At 47.8% G+C, this 26,216-nt stretch overlaps 1 long non-coding RNA gene across 1 annotated transcript in view, besides 2 other annotated features; it reads left to right on the top strand.

Annotated features, from left to right (window-relative positions):
* Nucleotides 4,951-5,450: an enhancer, noted in NCBI's record as "H3K4me1 hESC enhancer chr2:129142763-129143262 (GRCh37/hg19 assembly coordinates)". NCBI's record gives its function as "activates a minimal SCP1, AML or CMV promoter by ChIP-STARR-seq in primed H9 embryonic stem cells {active_cell/tissue: H9 hESC(primed)}" and the evidence as "EXISTENCE:reporter gene assay evidence [ECO:0000049][PMID:30033119]".
* Nucleotides 8,767-9,424: an enhancer, noted in NCBI's record as "H3K4me1 hESC enhancer chr2:129146579-129147236 (GRCh37/hg19 assembly coordinates)". NCBI's record gives its function as "activates a minimal SCP1, AML or CMV promoter by ChIP-STARR-seq in naive H9 embryonic stem cells {active_cell/tissue: H9 hESC(naive)}" and the evidence as "EXISTENCE:reporter gene assay evidence [ECO:0000049][PMID:30033119]".
* Nucleotides 22,365-26,216, top strand: part of LOC105373611 (uncharacterized) — a 241,632-nt gene continuing 237,780 nt past the window's right edge. Inside the window, exon 1 of the long non-coding RNA XR_923318.2 lies at nucleotides 22,365-24,751. This is a non-coding gene — a long non-coding RNA (uncharacterized LOC105373611). The remainder of the gene's footprint in view (nucleotides 24,752-26,216) is intronic.

The raw sequence follows: 26,216 nt of genomic DNA on the forward strand, positions 1-26,216 counted from the left end.
CTCAGCGTCCCCAGGCTCCCGCCCCCTGGGAGTGCCTCCCGACCTCCCCGGATGTGGCAGCTCCTGTTCTCCCTTCATCTCACACCCTTGCTCCTGACACTGGTGGAGCTGCAGGTCGTGAGGGCTGCCATCCGAGAGTCCCTGCCTGGGGAGTCTGGCCCACTGAGCCTAGTCTGCCATGGTGGAGAGCCTGGCCATGACTCCGTGCTGCAGCGGCTCCTGAGGGAGGGGATCTGTGAGCCCCACAGCCTTGGTAGCCGGGGGTGAAGATGTCATGCATGGTAAGATGATATTGCAGACACCAGGGATCCCTGCCTGTCAGTGAGGAACCCGCCAGGCCACCATCAGCTCTCTGGAGCCCGGCCCAGGCTTCTGCCTTCTCTCTGGAACAGTCTGGGGGTCCTTTCTACCCCAACAGCGTTCTGAGAGCTGTGGAGTCTGGCTGGTGCCAGGGACCCCGACCCACTGCATACATCAGGGCACGTGTGCAAAGGGGAGCCGCCCCCTCCTTGGGGTGTGTGAATGTCACCCTGAGAGTCCAGCTTGGTCTCTCACTCTGACCGACCCTGCCGCCCTGGGTCCCAGTGCAATGAGTCTCCTTTCTGGGCACAGAGTGTGGGAACCAGTGGGTCCCTGCTCCTCTCCCTCACCCTCCAGTTCATCCTGTGGGTGTCCCAAATATGTGTGAGGGTCCAAGCACCCAGTTTTAGGCCCAGCCCCAGTTCAGACAGGTCAGGGCCCTGAGGGGATGGTGGAGCCCTAGACTCTGACACATGGCCTGACTGTGTTCTGGGAGTGTGTCCTGGATGAGTGCAAATTGGTGATTCCCATGGGGATGGTGCTCACCCCCGCAGAGAGGGAGTCCCAGACACAGAACCGGAAAGTGAGCTGGGGAGGAGAGGATGAGCTTGGCCCAGGCCGGGCGCCCAGGCTGCTGGACATCCCCATGGCTGAGCTTAGGGGCAGAAGACACTCGTGCAGGCCTGTGTGGATCCCTGAGTCCAGGGAGGTCCTGTCAGAGTGTCCCTGCACATGTGACCTGCATATCCTCCCTAGTGTCTGGAGACCAGGCCTGAGGAGGGCTGGGCAGTGTCAGCACAGGGGTCAGGACTGCAGCGCCCTGGGAGCCTGTGAGCAGGAATGCAGAGTGAGCAGGGAGGGCGATGGCCAGCGGAAGTGGGCGTGGACCCGTCGCAGGCACAGCTGGCCTTGTGAGCCCCTGACAGGGCAGAGGTCTTTACCTCAGCTTTGTGACCATAGGCAACTCAGTTCCTCATCTGTGATGTGGAATGAGACTCACGGGGTGTTAGGAGAATTAAGAAAGAGGACAAGTTTGGAAGCTGCCTGACAGCTGGAGACACCCCACCTGGCTCCTTCCTCCCTGCGGTGACATCTCAGGGTCCCCCACCCCCTTTCCCTCTCCTTGGAACCAGGGACCCAGGACTCTCATGCTGTTGCTGCCCGGTCCTAGGGAGGGCGATGGCCGTGTCTGATGGTCTCCAAAGGCTCTGAGCACATGAGCCCCTCTGGGGAGACCTCTTAGACACAGATAACAGCTGCCACTTGGAAACCATAAGCAATTACACTAAATGCCTGCTGTGCTGGTTAAATAAGCTGCTGTGATGCCATGCTGAACTGAACTGCGTTTGCACGTGATGCTGTTTGATTTAGTTCCTATAACAATCCTGCCAGGTGTCTATTATCTTCCCTGCTTCATTGCACTCTGGACCAGAGAGTCCAGAGAGGCTAAGGAACTTTCCATAGGCTGCATAGCTACTTACAGGTGGAGCTGAGATTTAAACAGTTCCTTGATGCTGACCGGGGCTGGCCAGTTTCCTTCAGAGTGAGACCCTGGGCTGCACCAGGATTCAGACAGGACTCCGCCTCTCACTAACTGTGATGTACCCTTGAGCACATCAGGTGACCTTTGTGTGCCTTAGTTTCCTCATCAAGGACACGGGATTCTTGGGACTGCATGAGTTAACGCAGGTAAAGTGCTTACAACAGTGCCTGGTGCACAGGAAGCGCTCATCTCATTCAGCCCTTGCTGCTCTTTAGGACTAGGATCTCAGGTTGCTTTTTTTTCTGCAGCAAAAAGCCTGGTGAGTGAGCTCACTGAGCCCCTGTGGTTTGAGCTGAGCAAACAGGTGAGAAAAGCTCGGTCAACACCATGTGCTGGGTGAGGGCTGGGCCACCTGTGCACAGGTTTTGGTGGGGTCCTCTGTGGGCTGGTGGAGGCGAGGAGAGGGCTTCTGGGGGAATCCTGAGGGATTGGGGTCAGGCCCAGAGCTGAGCCTCAACTCTCGGCTGGGAGTACATGGATAGGGCACTGCTAGACAGAACCTGGAGGGGCAGGCATGGGGAAGTGCTCTTTCACCAGATCCTTGATTGTAGCTTACAAACGTGTTACTTGCTCTGCTAAACAATTTATTATACACTCCGTTCAAATGGTACTTTTTTTTTTTGAGACAGAGTCTCGCTCTGTCACCCACCCTGAAGTGCAATGGCGTGATCGCGGCTCACTGCAAACTCCACCTCCCAGGTTCAAGCGATTCTCCTGCCTCAGCCTCCTGAGTAGCTGGGATTATAGGTGCCAGCCACCACGCCCAGCTAATTTTGTATTTTTAGTAGAGACAGGGTTTCTCCATGTTGGTCAGGCTGGTCTCGAACTCCTGACCTCGTGATCCACCCACCTTGGTCTCCCAAAGTGCTGGGATTACAAGCGTGAGCCACCATGGCTGGCCAGTACATTTCTTTTTTATTTTAAGACAGGGTACAGGGTTTTGCTCTGTCACCCAGGCTGGAGTGCAGTGGCGTGATCACAACTCATTGCAGCCTCCACCTGCCAGACTCAAGTGATCCTCCCACTTCCACCTCCCAAATAGTTGGGAATACAGGTGTGCGCCACCACGCTTAGCTAATTTTTAAATGTTTTGTAGCAATGGGGGTCTCACTGTGTTGCCCAGGCTGATCTTGAACTCCTAGGTTCAAGTGATCCTCCCACCTCAGCCTCCCAAAGTGTTGGGATTATAAGCGTGAGCCACTGTGCCTGGCCTCAAATTGTACATTTTCTTATTGCCGAAAAGATTTTGTTTAAAATATACAGTTGACCCTTGAACAACATGAGTTCATTTATATGAGGATTTTTTCCATGTCTGCACCCCTGAGACAGCAAAGACCAACCCCTCTCCTCCTCAGTCTACTCAATGTGAAGATGTGAGGATGCAGACCTTTATGATGATCCACATCCACTTAAGAATAATAAATATATTTTCTCTTTATGATTTTCTCTAGCTTACTTTATTGTAGGGATAGAGTATGTAATACACAGAACATAGAAAATGTGTGTGAATCGACTGTGTGTGTTATCAGTAAGTCTCCTGGTCAACAATAGGGCATTTGTAGTTAAGTTTCGGGGGAGTCAAAAGTTATACACAAATTTTTTACTGTTAGAGGGGTTGGCATCCCTAACTCCCGTGTTGTTCAAGGGTCAACAGTGTTTTAATATATTTTCTTTAAATTATATTAAATTTCTTTCTTTTTTCTTTTGAGATGGAGTCTCAGTCTGTCACCCAGGCTGGAGTGCAGTGGCACAATCTCAACTCACTGCAACCTCTGCCTTCTGGGTTCAAGTAATTCTCCTGCCTCAACCTCCTGAGTAGCTGGGACTACAGGCACATGCCACTGCACACGGCTAATTTTGTAGTCTTAGTAGAGATGGGGTTAAACCGTCTATAATCCCAGCTCTTCAGGAGGCTGAGGCAGGAGAATTGCTTGAACCCAGGAGGTGGAGGTTGCAGTGAGCTGAGATTGTGCTACAGCAGTCCAGACTGGGTGACAGAGTGAGACTCCATCTCAAAAAAAAAAAAAAAAGGAAAAGAAAAAGAAAGCTTGAGGTCTTGCAGATTCAAGTATGTAGTGCAGTATTATTAGCATTATTAGCTTATTAGCTGTGGTCATCATGCTGAACATTCAATCCTCAGGCCTTACTCACCTTTTTTTTTTTTTTTTTTTGAGACACAGTCTTGCTCTGTCACCCAGGCTGTAGTGCAGTGGCGCGATCTCGGCTCATTGCAAACTCTGGCTCCTGGGTTCAAGCGATTCTCCTGTCTCAGCATCCTGAGTAGCTGAGATTACAGGCGCACACCACCACGCCCGGCTAATTTTTGTATTTTCAATAGAGACAGGGTTTCGCCATGTTGGCCAGGCTGGTCTCCAACTCCTGACCTCAGGTGATCTGCTGGCTTTGGCTTCCCAAAGTGCTGGGATTACAGGCGTGAGCCACTGCGCCCAGCCTCTTGCTCATCTTTGAACTGGAAGCTCATACCCTTCCACCAACATCTCTCTATTTCCCTCGCTCAGGCCTCTGGACCCCGCCAGCCACTCTCTGCTTCCCAACTGGCGTTTTCATCGGCATGAAGGTCTCCTTCAAGGCAGCACCCGGCCTTCCCTAGGGGCTCTTCCATGGTCTCCACCCAGCAGTTTCCCTGCAGCAGTGAGGACTGATAGGATCAGTATGGGAAGGGTTCAGGGCTGCCCCATGTATGGACAGTACTCTGTTGGGCCCGCTGCCTGCAGGGAGGCCGAGGTGATCTGCCTGGGCGTCCAGAGGAAAGGGAAATGGTTTGGCAAGCAATACATCTTCTCTCTTACCATCCCTCCCGGACTCTGCTCTAACATCATGGCTGCAGAGTAAGAGGGGGACATCCTGACCTCATCCCTCTGTGGTGTGGCTGTGTCCTTATTAAAACACCCAGGCTGCACCATGGACCCAGCACTGCGTGGCTAGAGCTGGTCTGCTCATGTCCTCTGCTGGGGTCCTGGGCGGGAGGTACTGTGGACGCATGAGTGATCATAGCCCTCTGGCCCACCCGAGCTTCAGAGGCTGCTTGCCAGGTGGCCACACCCAGGAAGGAGTCATGCTCAGGCTCCCCTGACACTTGACCCCAGTGCCTGCTGGGGTCCTGAGGGTTAGGGACGTGGACCTCCGACAGGCTGGGAAGCCCAGTGCCCACCAGTGCCTGAGACCCTCTGGAAACCACGGCGGGCCGCCAATGGAGGGCAGATGGGACAACAAACTTCCCTCCCCTCTGTCTCTAATCGAATCTGGTCTAATCTAATCTAAATGAATCTGTCTCAATCCATTTCTGACCTACCGCATGCCCTACATTTCCAAAGTTACTATTTGCCTTGGGGAAATGGGTTGGTAATGCCTGTGTGTGTGCATGCGTGTGTGTGCACACACAGGTCGGGGCACGGCGCTCAGGCTGTTAAGGGGCAGGAGATAAAGCTCTGTCTTCTGCTGTCCCTGACTGGGCAGTAGCTTCCACTGAGCTCCATTTGTGTTGCTAAGAATCCAGGCTCCAGGAGCCCCCAGCTCGTGGTGGTGGTCATCTTTCTGGGGCCAGGATGTGAGAGATGGCATCCCACCCCAGGTACATAGCAGAGCCCAGGGATGGCCTGGACAGTCTTCCACCCCACGACCCCAGAGCAAGCCCCAAACATAGTGTTTTCCATTTCAGATTGGAGACTCGTTTCCTCCATCCTGCATGTTGCTGGATAAGAGAAATACTTTGCATTTAATAGGATGTGATGTATTAGAAAATTTGGATCAACTAGGGGTAATACCTTTGCATTTCCCCAAGTGCTTGGAGATGTCTTACCTCATTTTGTCTGCTCTTGGACTAAGTGTCTGCCATGGAAATAATTTTCAACTTCTGTTTCAAAATGGTGGACTGAACTTAAGCTCCTCCCTCTAGAAATTATTTTAAAAGGAAACTAAGTAAATACACAAACGTGATCAAAAACAAACATGAGAACCCTCAGGGCACCAGACATTGCAAGGAATCCCTGCCAAGAAGAGAGCAGGCAGGGTTGGACGTACAGCGGCACGCTGCAGGGGCTGAGGAAGAGTACTGGAGAGGCAGAGGCCCGCAGGCAGGGCGTGGATCCACCCAAGAGGGAGGCTTAGCAGCTGCCTCCGAGGATCCATCTGGGCGCCCCAGCGGTGGCAAGTGGGAGCTGATAAGGTGCTTTTCCCCCTACTTCGCCCAGGCAGCAGTGATAGGGGCATCTGACTCCTGCTGGGAACAGGGATCTCGCCTTAGGGACAGGACGGTGCCCAAGGGCATGATGGGGGCTAGGTGGAACGGTGTCTTAGGTTGGGCTGCTGTAACAAAGCGCCACAGGCTGGGTGGCTGAAAGCGCAGAAATGCATTTCCTTAGGGTTCTGGAGGCTGGGAGTCTGCGATGAAGGTGTAGGTGAGGCTGGTTCCTTCTGAGGCTGTGAGCAAGAATCTACCGTGCTCCTCTGCTGGCTTCTGGTGGTTTGCTGGCCATCTTCGGCATTCCTTGGCTTGCCTCACTCCAGTCTGCCTTCATCTTCACAGGGTGTTCCCTCTGTGTGTGCATCTGGTTCGGAATTTTCCTGTCTGTTGTCTAAGGATACTAGTGAGATTGGATCAGGGCCCCTACATACCCCAGCACGACCTCATTTTTTTGAGACAGGAGTCTTGCTCTGTCGCCAGGCTGGAGTGCAGTGGTGCGATCTTGGCTCACTGCAACCTCTGCCTCCTGGGTTCAAGCGATTCTCCTGCCTCAGCCTCCTGAGTAGCTGGGACTACAGGCGTGTGCCACCACGCCCGGCTAATTTTTGTATTTTTAGTACAGACGGGGTTTCACCATGTTGGCCAGGATGGTCTTGATCTCTTGACCTCATGATCCACCCACCTCGGCCTCCCAAAGTGCTGGGATTACAGGTGTGAGCCACCGTGCCCAGCCAGCATGACCTCATTTTAACTTAACTAATTCTATCTGTAACAACTCTATTTCTAAACAAAGTCACATTCTGCAGACCTGGGGGTTAGTACTTCAACATATGCATTTTAGGGGGACACAATGAACCCATAAGAAAGAGGGCTGCCCAAATTTAGAAAAGGAGCTGTAGAAGTGTCCCCACCGATGGTACTTCCTGCTCCTCCCTGTTCACTGCAAAGCTCCCACATCTGCCCCCAGGCAGGCCTCTCACACTGAAGCAGACCGAGTGATTGGACCTCCACTACCAAGATTGCTGGAATTAAGAATCACCGAGGCAGGGCGTGGTGGCTCACGCCTGTAATCCCAGCACTTTGGGAGGCTGAGGCGGGCAGATCACCTGAGGTCAGAAGTTCGATACCAGCCTGGCCAACATGGTGAAACCCCATCTCTACAGAAACACAAAAATTAGTCCAGTGCTTCTTAAATTGCAATATATGCATGTTGCCTGGGTCTTCAATGCTGGTTGTGATCCTGAGACTGCATTGCTCACAAGCGTGTGGGTGGTGCTGATGCAGAGTGTGGGTCTGTGGCCCACACTCTGAGTAGCCAGGCTCCAGCACAGTTTCTCAGCGCAACCTTCTAATGACAGGGCACTCTTCAGCGCCACCTATCCTATCATCCAGCGATGTGCTGAATTTCTCATTGCCAAGCTCTATTAATTCATTCTTTTTCATAACCTCTTATTCTTATTTCATGGATGCAACATTTTCTTTGTCTCTCAGGGAATAATAATTATTCCTACTTTTAAAGGTCTAATTTCTTTATTACTTTATTTCTCTGGGAGTGAGTTTTTCCTAAAGGGATAATGAGATGGAAAATGAAAAAACAAAGTTGAGACATGGAGATACCTTCTGAAACTCAAGCATTCCTCTACGTGGATGTGCCAGAGGGAAAGAACAGAACAAAGGAGGGTAGACACTATTTAAATAAAAATATATAAGAATATTACATAACAAACAAAAAAGCCCAAATCCTCAGGTTGAAAAGGAGGAGAAAATGTCAAGCAAGACAAAAACAGATGAGCAACCAAAAAAGTGACATAGCTGGTCACCTATATTGAAATTTCAGAACATGAGTGATAAAGGACTCCCAGAAAAAACAAAACCCAAACTAAAAACAGAAAAAAAGGAACTTTACCACAAAAACATGAGAATCAGATGACATCAGTCTCTCATTAAGAAAATTGCTATAGGGAATGGGGCAAGGCCTTCAAAGTGCAGGGATACAATAACGTCTCTGAGTATTGAACTTCATACTCAAAATCGATTTTGTATGATAGCACTGTAAGGGCAATTTAGGACATAGAAAGACCCAGGAAATCAATCACACATGCCTCTCTGAAAGAATTAATAGAGGGTTAATTCCAGCAATAAGAAAAATGAATCCAGGATTCCGTTTTTTCCAGTGTAATGTGAGTGTAAGAAAACTGAGGCTTAGCAAGGCTGAGTAAACTACCTGTGGTCACACAGCTCAAAAGTGGCAGGGCTGGGCCTCAAAGTCAGGTTTGTGTGCTTGTAAAGGCTTTAGAGCTTCTGCTGCATCAGCAGTTTCTTACCAGAAACATCTGTGGCCCTTGCCCTAAATTCAGATTCCAGAGCTATAAAATCAGCCTTCAGGGGTGGGTCCAGGCTTCTGCACTGTCGGGCTTCAGAGGAAGTTCTCAGCCAACCTGCCAGGTGCAGTCCGGGGAAGCCCTCTACCATGCTGAAAAGAGACTTAGGTGACTGAAGGACAGGAGCCTTGAGTGCTGGGGAGCCTAGGAGGAGGGCGTCCTCACGGGGTGGAGTGGGATGAACCAGAACAGAGACAGGAAGATAAACAGATCCAAATGTGCTGTGGACGGGACTCACTCCCACCTGTCCACGCTGCCGCGTCCTGCCAGCCCAGCTAGTAGTAGTTCTCCTTCTCCAGTCTTGACGGCATGTTTGCAAACTCTAGGACTCTGAGGTGTCCTTGCAGGGATTAAAACTCTGACTAGGTGTCTTAGTCGGCTTGGGCTGCCATCACAAAATACCATAGTCAGAATGGCTTCAACAACAGACATTTATTTTCTCACACTTCTGGAGGCTGGGAAGTTTGAAATCAGTGTGCCAGCAGGGGTGGGTTTGGTGAGGACTCTCTTCCTGGCTTGCAGACAACTGCTTTCTCGCTGTGTGCTCATATGGCATCTCTTCTCATAAGGACACTATTCCCATCATGAGGGCCATACCCGTATGACCCCATCTAACCCTCATTTCCTTCAAAGGCCTCATCTCCAAATACCATCACATTGGGGATTAGGGGCTTCAACATGTAAATTTGGCAGGGGTGGGGGGATGCTAATATTCAGTCCACAGCACTAAGCGTGCACACAGCAGGGATGGCGTCAGCTCAGTCATCACTGCAGCATTATGATGCTAATCGTATCTACAAAATCACCCAAACTTCTCCATCACCCTCTGCTTGTCCTTTGGGGCTGGCCCCATCTGGGTGACTGGTCTCCTGCTCTGCCTGTGCTCCCGTGCATATGCAAAGAGCAGAATTCTCTCGCATCCCCACACATGCACAGCCTTCCTTTAGTGCCGGCTTGGCTGTGCTGCCTGCCATCCACAGCATGCAGTGGCCCGGGGGGTCCCCAGGCCCAGCTCGGCCTGACCATGTGCATCGTCTATGGCTGCGCAGTCTCGTGGAGCCAGGGTGCTGAGGTACCCTGGCTGAAAACCTCTCGTCTGGGGCTCGGAATGCTTGTGGACTCCCTAGGGGACTCTGTTGGGGGCCCACTGGATATGAGCAGAAGCCAAACTAGTGGAGCATATCCCATCTTCATTTCCCAGTTTTGTTTGGCTTTGCGTGTGTGGGAAAATCATGCTGGTTACAATCTTGGGTTATTATTTGGAGACTCACGGCTGGGGGAGAATTTCATTTCTCAGTTGGCCCAAGCCCTGCTGGAGTTTATGAGCCTGGGACTAAACGCTGAATCAAAATTGAAGCAAGGAGCTTATTCTTGGCAAAAATACATTTTCCTCTTCCTTGAGAAAAAGAGTACTAAAATGACTTATAAGAGGTTAAAAAAAGAGCCTTGTGGATGTTAAAAATTCTTGCAAAAACATGTTTTTAATGATTTGAGTGTAAATTAATAAGAAACAAATGCATAGTATTTTCTTTCCTAGACTATGAAATTAAATAAAAAGTAAGAAGGGTCCATGGGGAAATCACTTGTTGGGGGCAGTTTGCCCTTTTCCGTGTGGCGGAGGACCCCTGAGGGTGCTCTGCCCACTGAATCAAGTCTGCTGGGCTCTGAGTGGGCCCTGGCTGGGCCCTCGGGCATTCTCTGGCGCTCTCACAGGTGCTCGCCCAGGGGCTGCTGAAGCCCCCTTCTCGACTGTGTGGGAGCCCACCCTGAGTCACTTGTGCATTCAGCCAGCCTTTGCTGCACTTCCAGTCCAGGCCCATGCCAGACACCACCCTGGAGGCGTGGAGAGGGGTCAGCCATGCTGGAGTCCTCAAGGAACTCACAGAGCAGTCACTTTCCATGGAGATACGCCATCTTAAAGGGCCCCAAGCTTTAAAAATTGGACTCCAACAATGGGTGAGGGAGGAGCTTCCCAGGCCGACTGTCACTCCCAGTGAATTGGGAATTGATGACATTCCTGACGTTTTCTCTCTGTGCCTAGCAGTGCATGAGGTTCAACCATCTTTGCTCAGGGTGGGAGCTTAGTACGGTTGCTCCCTCCCTTTGAGGCCTCCCCAGACTCCTCCCTTCAGGGTTTGAAGGTCCATGTGTCAGCCCCTATTTATCTAACCTGGTCTTCTCTGTGCCTGCCACCCCTCGAGGTCCCTAATATGTGCTGAATGCAGTTTATCTTGGAAAGGAGATCCGCAGAGGCTCCCCGTGCAGTCTCCACGCCCAATCAGCAATAGGCAAAGGCAAGAACCCCTTTTGACAAGCGTGGATGTTTTACAAGGCTAGGTCTGTGGGGAGAGAACTGATACCATGAGGGAGGCAGCATGGCCTCCTGGAACCAGCCGGGGCCCGTCTCTGCTGGCTGCGTGACCTTGGGCAAGTTATCGGTCTTATCTGAGTCATCATGCAACCCAATTTGCAGGTTTACTGTAAAATTAAATGAGATAATGTCGAATAGGCCCGGTATACATGGTGACATGTGCAATACACTCTAGTACCATGAGATAGTTGGAATAGTCTGTAGTTAGAATGCACTGGTGCTGGCTTGTTGATCTGAGCAGCTAGCTCTTCATAAACCTTTTCCAGGTAGACATGTTGCCTTTTAGTACCTTAAACTTAAACTGGAACTCACAGCAGGGAAGGGAACGTGTGAGGGAAGTGCACATCCCAGCACGGGGCTGAGAGTGTGGGCCGGAGGCCAGCTGCCCAAATTTAAAATCCTTCTGAGCAGCACGGAGCCCTGATCACCCCGCCCGTGTTACGTGTTATTGACAGCCAGTATTTTAGTTTCAGTTTTTGTATACTCCCGATTCAGTATTATTATACCGATTTACATAATCAATGTATTATTTATTCAATCAATGCTTGAATAGATTTTGGGATTTTTTCCTGATTTCTTTGTTTCCTGTTGTTTCTGGTGCCTATTAACTTCTCCTGGGTTCAGTTTTCTTCTTAAAGTTCCTTCTTCAGTGTTCTTTGGTGAGGGTCTATGAGTGGTAAACTCTCACAATTCATTGTAAAGTGACAGATGTTTTCTCTTGGTACTTTGGCCACACTGCTTGGTTGTGCCCTGGTCGCTTTTAAGATCATAGCTTTGTATTTGCTTCTTCAGTACTATTTGACGTGTCTATAATGAGTTCATTTTTGCTTATCCTGCTTGGGAGTCTGTGACTCATGAATATGTAGATTATTATCATTCTGGAGTATTCTCAGCTATCATTTCTTCAAATATTGAGTTTTTTCCATTCTCCTTATTTTCTCTTTCTGGAGTTCTTACCAACTTATTAAATTTTCTTATTCGATTCACATGTCTCTTAACCTCTCTAGACTCTCTGTCATAGTTTCTCTTTATTTCTTTTTGCTTCTTCTGGTTTAATTTCTTCAAATCTAACTCTACAAATTCTCCCTTCAACTGTTTTTAATCTATTGTTTAAGCCATCTTATTGAGTTTCCAGTTTCAGTGCCTTTGCTTCTTACTTGTAGAAATTCTATTTGCATATTTTTTCAAACAGATCCATCCTTTTTAAAAATAGCTTTTTTGGGGTGGGATGTAAATTGTTTTATGTCTTTTAAACATATTTATTTCATAGTCACTCTCAGATTATTCTACAGTCTGTATCTCTTGGGTAACACTTTCCTGTTTATGGTATTTGCTGACTCTCACTCATGTTTGTGATTTTTTGCTGTGCGTTTGTAATTTTTCATTGCGAGCTCATCGTCACAGTGGCTGTGTCACTGAGAATCTCTTACAGACTTAGTTGAGATCATGTCCCTCTAGGTTTAGTTTTGGTCTTTGTCAGGTACTCCAGGGATTTCACTGGCCTATAACTTAGTTTTTAATGTTAATTTCTTAGATTGGTGGTTTGTGGAGCATGAGAGTAATGTGACTTTTAAAATTCCAAATACATGAATCTCAGGTTTATGTTTCAAATTCTCAGAGAAAAATATTTTATCTGTACCTAGAAGCCAGGAGGAAGAGATAGGTGTCCTAGTGGGTGTCCTGTGCTTGTGGATGGACTTTCCCCCAGGCTCCCCTGTAGCCCTTTTCAGGGCTGACCTAATGATATGGTTTGGCTGTGTCCCCACCCAAACCTCATCTTGAATTGTAGCTGCCATAATTCTCATATGTTGTGGGAGGGACCTGGTGGGAGATGATTGGATCATGGCCGGGGGGCGGTTTCCCCCTTACTCTTCTTATGGTAGTGAATGAGTCTCATGAGTCTCACGAGATCTAATAGTTTTGTAAGAGGTTTCCCCAGCCCAGGCGCAGTGGCTCACACCTGTAATCCCAGCACTTTGGGAGGCTGAAGCAGGTGGATCACCTGAGGTCAGGAGTTCGAGACCAGCCTGGTCAACATGGTGAAACCCCATCTCTACTAAAATATAAAAATTAGCTGGGCGTGGTGGTGCACCCCTGTAATCTCAGCTACTAGGAGGTTAAGGTGGGAGAATTGCCTGAACCTGGGAGGCAGAGGCTACAGTGAGCCGAGATCACACCATTACAGTCCAGCCCGGGCAACAGAGCGAGACCCCATCTCAGAAAAAAAAAAAAAGAGTTTTCTCTTTTGGTTGGTTTTCTTCTTTTGTCTATCACCATGTGAGAGGTGCCTTTCACCTTCTGCCATGATTGTGAGGCCTCCCCAGCCATGTGGAACCTTGAGTCCATTAAACCTGCTTTTCCTTATAAATTACCCAGTCTCGGGCGTGTCTTTAGCAGCAGCATGAAAATGGACCAATACACTTAAGACACACTCCCACTCAGCACGGGCCTGTCCTCACCTGCACCTTCTCTCACTGCTGTCCTCTTCGAGGCTTCCCTGGGCATAACTTTGTTCCCATATTTCTAACTTAATCCAATTCCTTTCTGTAAATGTGTGTCAAGTATTCTTCCAATGTGTGGATGAGCCCCAGCTCTTGGGAGCATGGGATCCCAGCTTTTTTCTCATTTGCCTCGGAAGTAATCCCAAGTTCATTCTCTTTTCGCCCCTGGACGGGAGCAGTAAGAGAGAAGCGATTTTGGTTAGACCACCTACCTCTCTGTACTTCTAGACTTCCACTGGTTGCCTTTTTTTGTTCTTAGATTTGGCAGGGACCTCAAAAAATTTGGCCTTGCCCCTTTCCAGGTTTGCTGGTGGGAGTCCACTGTGCCTGTGGTGACATCGTCTCATGCTTGGTGTAGACGCTCCTCAGCTTACATTGGGCATATGTCCTGGTAAGCCCATCATAAGTTGAAAACACATTTAATACACTAACCTACCCAGCATCATAGCTTAGCTGAGCCTACCTTAAACATGCTCGGAACACTTGCATTAGCAAAATTGCCTGGCAACATGGACACCGTTTACCCTCAGGATAGTGGGGCTGACTGGGAGCTGCGGCTCACTGCTTCTGCCTAGCATGGCAAGAGACTGTCCTACCACTTTCTACTGAACGTGTATCGCTTTCACACCCTTGCAAAGTTGAAAAACCATAAATCAAACCATTGTAAGTTGGGACAATGGTATGAGGACAGCTCAGAGCCATGGAGATGTGCTGATTAATAAGAAATCCACTTCAGTAAAAAGGGAAGCTGCCAGCGTGCTGTTGAGGCTCATTGGAAGGGAAGATGAGACCAAGTAAATGATTCTTTTTTTTTTGCCCTTTGCAATCCAGAAGTATTTGGGAGCCTGAAACCCAACGTTTAGTTTGGTTTTAATTTTTGTTCTGTCCGTGGCAGTCAGAGCTTCATTACCTGTGATGATGGAACTGGAATGGTGGTTAGCCATTTGCTGACTTGGCAAGAAATCAGCTGGTGCTGAGATTGGGCTGCTAAGGAATTGTGTGCAAGCAGGTCTGGCAACACGGGCCAGCACCAGGCATGAGGGCAGGGACTGGGCGCTAAGGCTGCTGCTTAGCTGCAAGATCTCGGACCTATCCTTTTGCCTCTCTGAGCCCCAGGGCTCTCTTCCATCAGAGAGGTTTCATTGTACCTGCAGGCTTGTTGCTGGAGTCAAGTAAGATCATGCACAAGAAAGAGTCTTTTTGGGACCAGCTTACAGTATTAAAAAATGTAAAAGACTGTAAAATAACCTGACTTAATTTGAGAAGTTTATTTGAACAATGCCTTCAACAAAGGAGTGAGATAACACTGGCTCCGTGGCAGGTTTTTCTCCAGAGCCTGGTGTCAACTTGAGGGTTTCCACCCTTTTCTGTCGGGAAGGAGGTTTCTAAGCTGCTTTACTTCAGTCACAGGTGTACCTAAGGGGTATTGGGTATGTTTTCATTAAGTCAAGGAAACAGGCCGGGTGCAGTGGCTCATGCCTGTAATCCCAGCACTTTGGGAGGCTGAGGCGGGCGGATCACCTGAGGTCAGGAGTTTGAGACCAGCCTCCTTTGTACTAAAAATACAAAATACAAAAATACAAAAAAAAAAAAATTAGCCAGGTGTGGTGGCAGGCACCTGTAATCCCAGCTGCTCAGGAGGCTAAGGCAAGAGAATTGCTTGAACCCAGGAGGCGGAGGCTGCAGTGAGCCAAGATCGCACCACTGCACTCTAGCCTGGGTGACAAGAGCAAAACTCCATCTCAAAAAAAAAAAAAAAAAAGTCAAGCAAACAAACAATCCTCTCCTCTGTTTGCCAGGAGTCAGGTGTGGCTAAAGTGGCCCAACCTCCGGGCGACAGGCCCCAGAGGAAGCTGCTGTGGGGTCTGACTGCAGTGAGGCGTCAGCTGTAGGGTGAGCACCAGTGCATCCTCTGAGCCTCACCCCTCCTGTGAGCCCCACACGCCAGAGTCCCCTCCTTCTAGGGAGTCCAGCTTTGGTTCATACACTGTCGGCGAGGCTGGGATGTAAATAAAAATGTCAGACATTGGCTTCCACTTTAAGCGCCGTAGAAGAGCATCTTTGTTACAAAAAGAATTTTGAAAGCAGAATTTTATAAAAGTTTTATATAAACTGATAATGATGATCTTGTTGAAGGTTTTGGTTGGAAAGTGTGCATTTTCGCCTTCTGAATATTCTAAAACTGGGTCCCTGTGCACGTTGGAGTTGTCGAGCCAAAGGTGCTGGGGCATCTGCGGGCACCCTGCGAGGGGGTGGTTCCTGACTCGTCCATCCATCCCCACGTGTTTCTCCCAGGGCCCAGGCTGCTGGACAGGCCTTGGGCGGCAGAGGATCCGGTTCCCAGCCCTGCCTTTCTCCAGCCCTGGGACTTGAGCAAGTGGGCTGTGCTTTCTGGCCTCAGTATTCTCATCTCTAAAACCATGGGATTAAAATACCAGACAGAGAGGGTGCCTCGTTCCTCATGCATGCTGTTGAATGAAAGAATGCGGAATTATTATTCCAGGAAGTTATTACTGCCTGTGAATAACTGGCTCTAGCTAGTTTCCTGGGTTGGGCTGAATGCTCAAGCATGGTGAGCAATGAGCCGTTTTACAGGAAGGAAGAAGGATCACTGGGTCACATAGCAATTAAAGGTCTGCCAGGATCTGGGCTCAGGTGTCTCCGTCCATGTGCCCCTGCCACCTCCAGTAGGTAGGATTGAAATTGCCGATAGGGCAGGCTCTGGGGCTGTCCCCTCCCATACCCTCCCCTGCTCCCATTTCCTGTGGGACAGCCTGCTAACTTTCTAGAGGTTTGCTCATCTAGCTAAGTTCTGGCCCATTTCTCTCTTGGGTAGGTTGTTTGACAGCATTCCCTTCCAAGCAGTCTTATGTCTGCATGTTAAACATTGAAACTCACTGGGGTTTCACTGGGGCCAGGTTGTTAATTTGCTTAACAAACAGTCGTGGCAAAAAAGAGAGGAGAACTTGGGAGGCCCTGTGTCCATGAAGTCACCCTTGTTTGCCATCCAGGACTGGGGAGCTGTGGACACTCTCAACCCCGCATTCCCAGTAAAAGTGTTTAAAGGCCTTGACGACCTGAGCAGGGGCTTCAGACAGCTTCCCTGTCCCCTCTTGGTCTGTTCCTGCCCAGGGAGAGGGGACTTAGCATGACGATAATCACAAAGGGCTTTTCATTCTCTTCCTCTGGTAGCTGTCAGGGAGTGAGCAGCTGCAGATCCAGACAGGCCTCTGTGGGAGGGAGGGGACCTGGGAGGCAGTGCTGAAGCGTCCCTGTGGCTCCGATCTGCGCTTCCCCAGTGCTTAGCGATGCTGAACATCTTTTCATGTGCTTATTAGGCATCTGGGTATCCTCTGTGAAACGTCTCTTGGTGCTTTTTGCCCACGTTCCAATCGGATTATTTGTTATTTTTCTGTTGAGTTTTAGAAGTATATATATATATATGTATATATATATATGAAGTTTGATAAATTATTTATAAATGTATAAATTTTAAAAACTTTCATACGTTTTGTAAATTATATATGAAGAACATTCTTTACATATTAGAGAAACAAGTCATTTATCAGCTATGTGGTTTGCAAATATTTTCTCCCAGCCTACTTGTCTTTCATCCTCTTAGCAGGGTTGCTCACAGAGTGAAAGTTTTAAATTTCAATGTAGTACAATTAATTGATATTTATCTTTTATAGATCTTACCTTTAGTGTCACGTCCAAGGAATGTTCACCAAGCCTGAGGTGCTGAAGATGATCTTCTATGTTTTCTTCTAGAAGTTTTATAGTTTTGTTTTTTGCCTTTTTTTTTTTTTGAGACTGAGTCTTGCTCTGTCACCCTGGCTGGAGTACAGTGGCGCTATCTCGGCTCACTGCAACCAGTGCCTCCTGGGTTCAAGCGATTCTCCTGCCTCAGTCTCCTGAGTAGCTGGGATTACAGGTGCCCGCCACCACACCTGGCTAATTTTTGTATTTTTGGTAGAGACAGGGTTTCACCATGTTGGCCATGCTGATCTCTAACTCCTGACCTCAAGCGATCCACCCACCTCGGCCTCCCAAAATGCTGGGATTATAGGCATGAGCCACCACGCCCAGCCTGAAAGTTTTGAAGTTTTATGTTTTGCACTTAAATTCATTTTGAGTTCATTTTTGTACAAGCTGCGAGGTTTAGGTCAAGGTCTCTTTTTTTTTTTTTTTTTTTTGCCTGTGGGTATGTAATTACTCCAGCACCATTCCTTGAAAAGACCATCTTTCCTCTGTTGCTTTTGCACCTTTGTCCAGAATCTGTTGGCCATACGTGTGTGGGTCTATTTCTGATCTCTTGATTCTGTTCCACTATTTATGGGTCTGTCCCTCTGCCCATACCACATGGTCTTGATTCCTGTAGCTATATAAGTCTTAAAATTGGGTAGAGTGATTCTTCCCATTTTATTCTTTTCAAAATTGTTTTAGTTATCCTAGTTTCTTTGCCTTTCCATATACATTTTGGAATAATTTTGTCTATGTCTTCAACATTTCTTGCCGGAATTTTGATAGTTGCGTTAAACTTATAGGTCCTTTTAGGGAGAATTTGTATCTTTACTAAATCGAATCTTTCAATCCATGAACACTGTATGTCTCTTCATTTATTTGGAGTTTGATTTCTTTCATCAGCATGTTGTAGTTTTTGGCTAGAAGCTAAGTATATGTTTTATTAGATTTACATGTATTTCATCATCATCATTACTTTCTGCAGAGTTGTAGATAATATTGTATTTTTAGTTTTGATTTCCACGTATTTGTTGCTAGTATATAAAAATACAGTTGATTCTTTTTTTTTTGAGATGGAGTCTCGCTCTGTTGCCCAGGCTGGAGTGCAGTGGCACAATCTTGGCTCACTGCAACCTCTGCCTCCTGGGTTCAAGCAATTCTCCTGCCTCAGCCTCCCGAGTAGCTGGGATTACAGGTGCCTGCCACCATGCCCGGCTATTTTTTTGTATTTTTAGTACAGATGGGGTTTCACTATGTTGGCCAGGCTGGTCTCGAACACCTGATCTCATGATCCACCTGCCTCAGCCTCCCAAAGGGCTGGGATTACAGGCATGAGTCACCGTGCCCAGCCCTACAGTTGATTTTTTATGTTGATCCTGTATCCAGCAAACTTGCTAGAATCACTTACTAGTTCTAGGAGTTGTTTTGTAGATTCTTTAAGCTTCTCTACATCGACCATTATGCCATCTGCAAATAGTTTTATTTCTTCCCTTCTGATTTCCTTCCCCTTCCCTTCCCTTTCCTTTTCTTTTTTTCTTGCCTTGCTGCATTGGCTGGAACTTCCAATATAACATTGACTAGCAGTGGTGAGTGATCATCATTGCCTTGCTCCAATCTTAGGGGAAAAGTATTGTCTTTCACCGTTAATTAGCTACAGGGTGTTTTGTTTGTTTGTTTGTTTGTTTTTTTTGTAGATGTCAAGTTGAGAAAGTTCTCTATTCAGTTTTTTTTTTCCTGAGAGTTTTAATCTTGAATGTATATTGAATTTTGAGAAGTGCTTTTTTCTGCATCAATCGATACAAAATCATGTGATTTTTCTTCATTAGTCTGTCAGTATGGTGCATTACATTGATTGATTTTCAAATATTGCACCAGCCTTGCATACCTGGAAGTAGCCCCACTTGCTCATGATGTATAATTATTTTTATGTATTGCTGAATTTTATTAGCTAATATTATGTTCAGGATTTTTGCGTTTATGTTCATAAGGAATATTGGACTATATGTTTTTTTCTTTGTACTCTTTTAGTCTTATTTTGGTATCTGAGTAATACTAGTTTGATAGAATGAGTTGGGAAATGTTCCCTGCTTTTCTGTTTTCTGAAAAAGAGTGTGTAGAATTGGCATTAATTCTTCTTGAAGTGTTTGGTAGAATTCTCCAGTGAAGCCATCTGGGCTTGGAGATTTCTTTTTTTGGGAGTTTTAAAATTAAAAATTCAATTTCTTTAAGTGTTACAGAGTTATTCAAATTATCCATTTCATATTGAGTGAGTTGTGTGACTGAGTTTTTATATCTATTTCCTACGGAGTGAATGTCTAGTGTTTGGGGAAGTGGTTCGTTCCATCTAAGCTGTGTATTTAGGAGTGGAATAGTTCATGGTATTCCTTTACTGTCCTGTTGACGTCTGCAGGTTCTAGCCCCTGCAGTGGTAGCCCCTGTTACATTCCTGATTTTGGTGATTTCCAGCTTTTCTCTCTCTCTTTTTTTTTTTTGTTGTCAGTCTTGGTAGAAGTTTGTCAATTTTATTGATTTTTTTCAAAGAACTGACTTCTGTTTCATTGATTTTCTCTATTGTTTTCTGTTTTCAATTTTATTGATTTCTTCTCTGCCTTTAGTATTTCCTTCCTTTTGCTTGCTGGGGTTTATTTTGCTCTTTTTTTTTCTATTTACTTAAGGTTAGAGCTTGGTTTATTGATCTGACTCTTTTCCTCTTTTCTAATGTAAGCACTTAGTGCTATAAGTTTCCAAGTGTACTGCCTCAGTTAGGACGAAATGTAGAAAACTTCCTCCCTTTATGCCCCTTTATCCTCCCCCATTGAGAATGACATTGTCGTGAACGTTTCCTCTACATGCACTGATAACCACATCAGACGGTGATACAATTTTTGCTTAAGTCATCAGATGTAATTTAGGAAACTCAAGAGGAGTTTCTGTATTTATATTTTTTACTTTTTTGGTTAATTTTTTTGAGACTGAGTCTCGCTCTGTTGCCCAGACTGGGCTGCAGGAGGCTGCTCACTGCAGCCTCCACCTCCTGAGTTCCAGTGATTCTCCTGCCTCAGCTGCTGGGTAGCTGGGATTGCAGGTGTGCGCCACCATGCCTAGCTAATTTTTTTTTGTATTTTCAGTAGAGACGGAGTTTCACCATGTTGGTCAGGCTGGTCTCAAACTCCTGACCTCAAGTGATCCACCCGCCTTGGCTTCCCAAAGTGCTAGGATTAGAGGCGTGAGCTACTGTGCCCCGCATTTTTTTTTTTTTTTTTTTTTGTTTTTTTACTATTTCTGTTGTTCTTTCTTCCTGATTTCCAAGATTTCCTTCCTTAATCCTTTTTTTTCTGTTGTAAGAACTTTCCTTAGTCTGTCCTTTAGGGTAGGTCAGCTGACACAAATTCTCTTGACTGTCCTGAAAGCCTGTTTTTGCTGGGTATAGGATTCTGGGCAGCAGTTCTTTTCTTTCAGTACTGGAAACATGCTGGGCTACCTCTGTAGCTACTCCATCTCACCCATGTGTTCTGAGGAGAAATCTGCTTTCATTAGAGTTGGTTATTTCTTAAAGTAAGATGTCATCTCTCTCAATGCTTTCAAGATTTTTAATTTGTCTTTAGTTTTCACAAGTTTGATTATGATATACATGGCATAGCTTCTTTGGGTTTATCCTATTTGGGGTTTGCTTAGCTTATTGAATGTGTAGGTTTTTGTCTTTTGCCAAATTTATGAAGACTTCAGCTATTATTTCCTTAATACTTTTTTAAGTCACCCCCTTTGTTCTCTCCCTCATGGACTCAGGTGACATAAATGTTACATGTTTTGTCAGAGTCCCCCAGGTCCTGGGGTGATCATTTTTCAGTCTATTTTCTCCCCATTGTTAAGATTTGACAATTTCTATTCTGTCTTCAAGTTCACTGAATCTTTCTCTGTCCTCTACATTCTACTTTTCCTTACCCATAGAGATTTTTATTTTTATTATTATGTTTTTCAGTTCTAAAATTTCCTTTTGGTTTTTTTTTTAGACAGTCTATTTTTTTGTTGAGATTTTCTATTTTTTTCATCTCAAATGTGTTCATAATTGCATTTTTATATCATCATTGTAGCATCGTAGCTTTTTCACTGTGGCTGCTTTAAAATCTTTGTCAGATCATTCCAACATCTGTGTCATGTCAGTGTAGGAATCTTTTGATTACTTGTCCTCATTCAAGTTGAAATTTTCTTGGTTCTTGGTAAAATGAATGATTTTCACTTGAACCTTAGGCATTTTTTTTTTAGATGGAGTTTTGCTCTTGTTGCTCAGGCTGGAGTGCAATGGCGCGATCTCGGCTCACCACAACCTCCACCTCCCAGGTTCAAGTGATTGTCCTGCCTCAGCCTCCCGAATAGCTGGGATTACAAGCATGCGCCACCATGCCCGGCTAATTTTGTATTTTTAGTAGAGATGGGGTTTCTCCATGTTGGTCAGGCTGGTCTCGAACTCCCGACCTCAGGTGATCTGCTCGCCTTGGCCTCTCAAAGTGCTGGGATTACACTTGTGAGCCACCGCCCCCGGCCGGCGTTTTGGGTTTTATAGATTCTGGATCTTATTTAAATCTGTCTTAGCTGTCTCCTTTGACCTGCACTTGCAGAGAAGGAGGATGCAGCCTTGTTGCTGTGAGGCAGGGCTGGACCCAGGTTCTCTGTCTGGCCTTTGTGGACACCTGAGTAGGGAAGGATGGCTTGTCACTGCTGAAAGGGAGGGAAATGGGTGCCTCTTTACTGCTTCCCAAAGTAGGGGTGGCCTCCTCACTGCTGGGGGTGGTACTAGGCCTCCTCTGACACCACTCCAGCATGGAAGGGAGGGGTGCCTCATTATTGCCAGGGTGGGGGTAGAAATCCAGGATTCCTACACGGACTCCAGTGACACCATGAGTGGGGATGAGGGGCTTACTACAGGTGGAGATGAAGTCCCCAGTCCCCCTTGGGCCTTTGCGGGTGGGGGTAGGGTCATAGTTGTTCCTCTTTGGCTAGGGTAGGGCAATTATTGTCTAGAAGTTTCCTGCCTTGCTAGGCTGCCCCTTTCCTAGTCCTTTAGTTAGAGAGAGCTGGCTCTCTTTCTTTTTCTTTTTTTTTTTTTTTAGACGAAGTCTTGCTCTGTTGCTCAGGCTGGAGTGCAGTGGTGTCATCTTGGCTCACTGCAACCTCTGCCTCCTGGGCCCAAGTGATCCTTCCACTTCAGCCTCCCGAGTAGCTGGGCCTCCAAGGTGCGTGCCACCACACCCAGCTAATTTTTGTATTTTTAGTAGAGACGGGGTTTCACCATGTTGGTCAGGCTGGTCTCAAGCTCCTGACCTCAGGTGATCCACCCACCTCAACCTCTCAAAGTGCTGGGATTACAGGCGTGAGCCACTGCTCCCAGCTGAGAGCTGGCTTTTCTTAGGGCTTTGTTCAACTGTACCTGTTGATGATCCTAGGTCACCAGCTTCTCCAGCACCCAATCCGGAATATATGTGGCTAAAACAAAACCTTGGGAACTCACTGCCACATTATTCCTTAAAGTTTGTAACTGGTCAACTTTCTTCTTTCCACCTTCCAGAGTCTTCTTATATTTGGCTTATATATAATGCCCGGGGTTTTCAGTTGTGCTTTGTGGGAGGAATACGGAGAAATGTGTCTGCCCCATCTCACACAGAACTAGAATGCAGCCTGGTTTTGAACTAGAATGCAGCCTGGTTTTGAAACCACTGCATGAGAGAATTCCTTTGAGGTGGGTGAGAGAACTCAATCAGGTGGCTATTACGCTGGCCCAAATCAGGCAAGGCACCTCCCGTTCCCTGCCCCAGAGGCAGATGTGGTTCCTGTACTCTCCCAGAGCACAGAGGCCCTCATCAGCCGCTGGGGCTGGGACGCGAGAGGGCTTCTCTCTGCTTACAGGGCTGTGGGCTTCTCTTTCACACCGGGTCCATCATCTTCAGCTCCCACAGAGCTTCCCTCTTTTGATGGCCCAGGCTGAGATGATCCTTCTCTCTCTTCTGTGCCATCTGCCCCTGTCTTTGCTATTGCGCCTACCTCACTCTTCACCCGTATGTGCGCCCACAATATGGGGAGACACTCTGAGGTCCTTGTCACAGGGGCCATTTTATTTCCTTTTACTTCTGCAAGCTCAGCCCAAGGTCTGTTGCTCATGGGCCTGGAGTTGGGCTGGGTGGAGATGGACTGGCCCAGGGATTTGACGGGGTGCAGAAGGGAGCGGTGCCGCTGGGACTGAGCTTTGGAGGCTTAGGGTTGGGAAGGCTGTGTGCAAGGTCACTGGATTCCCTAGAGTCCTGAAATGATAAAGATCTGTGGGAGACTTCCTTTGGGGTCAAGGCAGTTAATGCTTTTTTCTTATCTCATCTCAAATCTCAAATTCTAAATGAAGAGAACAGAATTCAGGATTAAAGTAAATAAATGAAAGATTATCCCTTGTTTGAACTACCTGGGTGATTTGCGTATTCAACCCTTCTCAGAGGAATTCAGAAGATTATCAGGGAGAAGAAATGAAGATTATCCAAACTTGCAGGATACCTTAAAATGAGGTTTGTTAAACAGGCATGTTCATAAATCAGGGGCTGGAGCTGGCATAGGTGTGAGGAGGGAGGGTTAGGTGAGATGGTTCATTTCATTAGACCATACTGCTGAAGGCAGAAGGCGTGGGGGCAAGGTCTGCCTTTTCCCCACCGAGTCCTTCTGCTGTGTGACCTTGGGTGATTTCCTGCCCTCTCTGGGCCTTGGTGTTTTCACTGGTCATCTGATGCAGTTGGACTTTTAGCTCAAACCCAATGTCCTGGGAGCCTTAAACTTGACTCCCCTAAAGTTCTTCAGTAGCTCCCTATGAATACCCAAATCAAGTCCAAACTTTAAAAGGTCTCCTGGGTGTAGCCCATCTACTCCTCTGTCTTTGTCCCTTCTCTCCCCCTCATTTTGCCAGGTTCTTCAGTCACATTAGCGATCCCTAGACTGGGCCATACTCTGCCACACCTCTGGGCCTTGCCCATGCTGTTCTAGGACTAGAACACCCACCCTAGCTTGCTTGCCACTTTGCTAATTCCTCCTTACAGCTCATGTGAAGGAGCTGTCTCCTCCTCCAGGAAGCCCTCCCTGACCTTCCCTCCATCTGCTGTGTCTCTCAGTCCTGCCTTTACTGTATGTTGTTGCAATTCATCTTTGCCCTCTGTCCTGGAGGCTCCTTGGGATGGGAAGGGCTGTGATTTGGTCACCTTTGAATGCTGTCTGCCTGGCACCAGGCCTGGCTGGGAGCAGGAGCTGGTGTTAAAATGAACTGAAGATGAGATTTGGCTGTTGCCTGTAGTGGGTGAGCTGACCCATTGGGAACAGGAGTCGGGGTGAGGGGGTGGTCAGAAACTTTCTTTTCTGCTTCCCCAGACATCGTCTTAAAAAAATGTCAACTTATATAAAATGAATTGGCCTGACCTTGTGTGTCTCTGTTGCCAAAATATTTTGAATAGACCATTATGCATTTTCTAGCTCTTTAAAGGTGGGACTATGGTGACAAGTGACCAGCTTGTACTGGTCCGTCTGGGGCTTTCCTGGTTTTTCAAGGTAGGTCCTGTGTCTGGAAATCCCCTCAGTCCTAGACAAACTCTGATATTTAGTGGCCCTATGGTGTGAGGCCTCTTTCCTTCCTCCCCTAGGGTCAAGCTTGCTGTGCGGAGCTGTGGAGTCTGCTGGAAAAACCAGGTATTTGAAGGTGATGGGGTTACGGCTCGACCCCTGGCTGGTCAGGGGCCCCCGTGGTGGCTGTGCTGGGGCTCTGGGAGAAGGCCAGCAGGCCTTGCTGTCCGGCAACCTCCCTCCCTGCTGAAGGGTCAGCTCCTGCCTCCTGCTTTCCAGGGGAGAATGGTACTGGGTACTGACATGGCCAGGTGTGGCCAGATCCCCACCACTATTAGCAGGTATTCTTGAGCAACTCCAGGAGCCTCCATTTCCTAATACAGAAAATGGGCAGGAAAATCCTAAATCAAGTTGATGGGAACTTTCAGTGTAATCACATAAATAAAGGCACTGGGATGAGGTGGTCCAGCAAGCATTTCTACCTCTAGTGAGGGCCTGGTGAGACCTAGGCACCGTGGCTGTAACCCTCACAACAGCCTTACGGGTTGGCACTAATGTGATCTCCATCTGGCAGACGTGAAGACTGAGGCTCGGTGAGGCCGAGTGATCTGCCCAGGGTTACAGATGTGTGGGAGGCAGAGCTAAGCTATTGTTCCAACCCCAGGCGCACTTTTGTTTGACTGGGCCTGTCCACAGGCTCAGGGTGGTAGCCAAGTGGCTGAGATTATGCAGCTTTCATATGTGGACTGGGATCAGACTGTTGGTCCAAATTTCTCTTGAACCGGGCCTCCCCATGACTGTGGGACCGTCCCGCCAGTGGAGCTCTGGACCGGGTGATCCTCTGGCTCAGAGTAGTGGGAACAGCTAACAAAACCAACAGCCCCCATGGGTGCCCATGCTTTGTTAGAGTTGGGAGAAAATGAGGGACCCAGCAATGTGATTTGGGCAGTGGTTCATTCATTCCCTAATTCATTCTTGCATACATTAATTCATTGCAGCCATGCACTTACCCTTTTAGCCACCTGTGAGCTCATAATCTAGGGAAGGGAGGGCCCCACTAGTGAACACACTGGTGTTCAGAGGGAGGGAGGAGCACCTAAGGGGTGCTGCCTGGGGCAGTCAGAGAAGGCTTCCTGGAGGACGAGGCATTTGAACTACTCCTGGAGACTAAATGTGCCTTCTGGGTGGACAAACCATGGGTGGGTGGCATTCCAGCCTCCAGGCTGGCACATGCAGAGGCAGTTTGATGCTGCTGGACTGCAGGAAGGTGTGGAGGGAGTAGAGGGGAGGAGGCCACGTGGCTCTGTGGCCTCACAAAGGTGCTCTGTGTAGTCCTAGAGGCTCTGAGTAGTCACTGAGAGTCCTGATGGGCAGGTACAGCTGGCTGTGTGGGCTAAGAAGGCACAGTGTGGATTACTGGGGGACTGAAACCATCCTGTTGAAGGGTAGTGGCTGCTGAGAGCCAAGCAGGGTGGAGTCCCAATCCCTGCAGCACACCTCCATCCACATGGCTGTGCTGTGTTCTCATGGGCTCCCCAGAAGCCCTCGTGTCCTTGGCACACCCTGGAGTCAGATTGTGGACAGGAGCATG

Source organism: Homo sapiens, chromosome 2, assembly GCF_000001405.40.
Source record: "Homo sapiens chromosome 2, GRCh38.p14 Primary Assembly".
NCBI classification, from domain to species: Eukaryota; Metazoa; Chordata; class Mammalia; order Primates; family Hominidae; genus Homo; species Homo sapiens.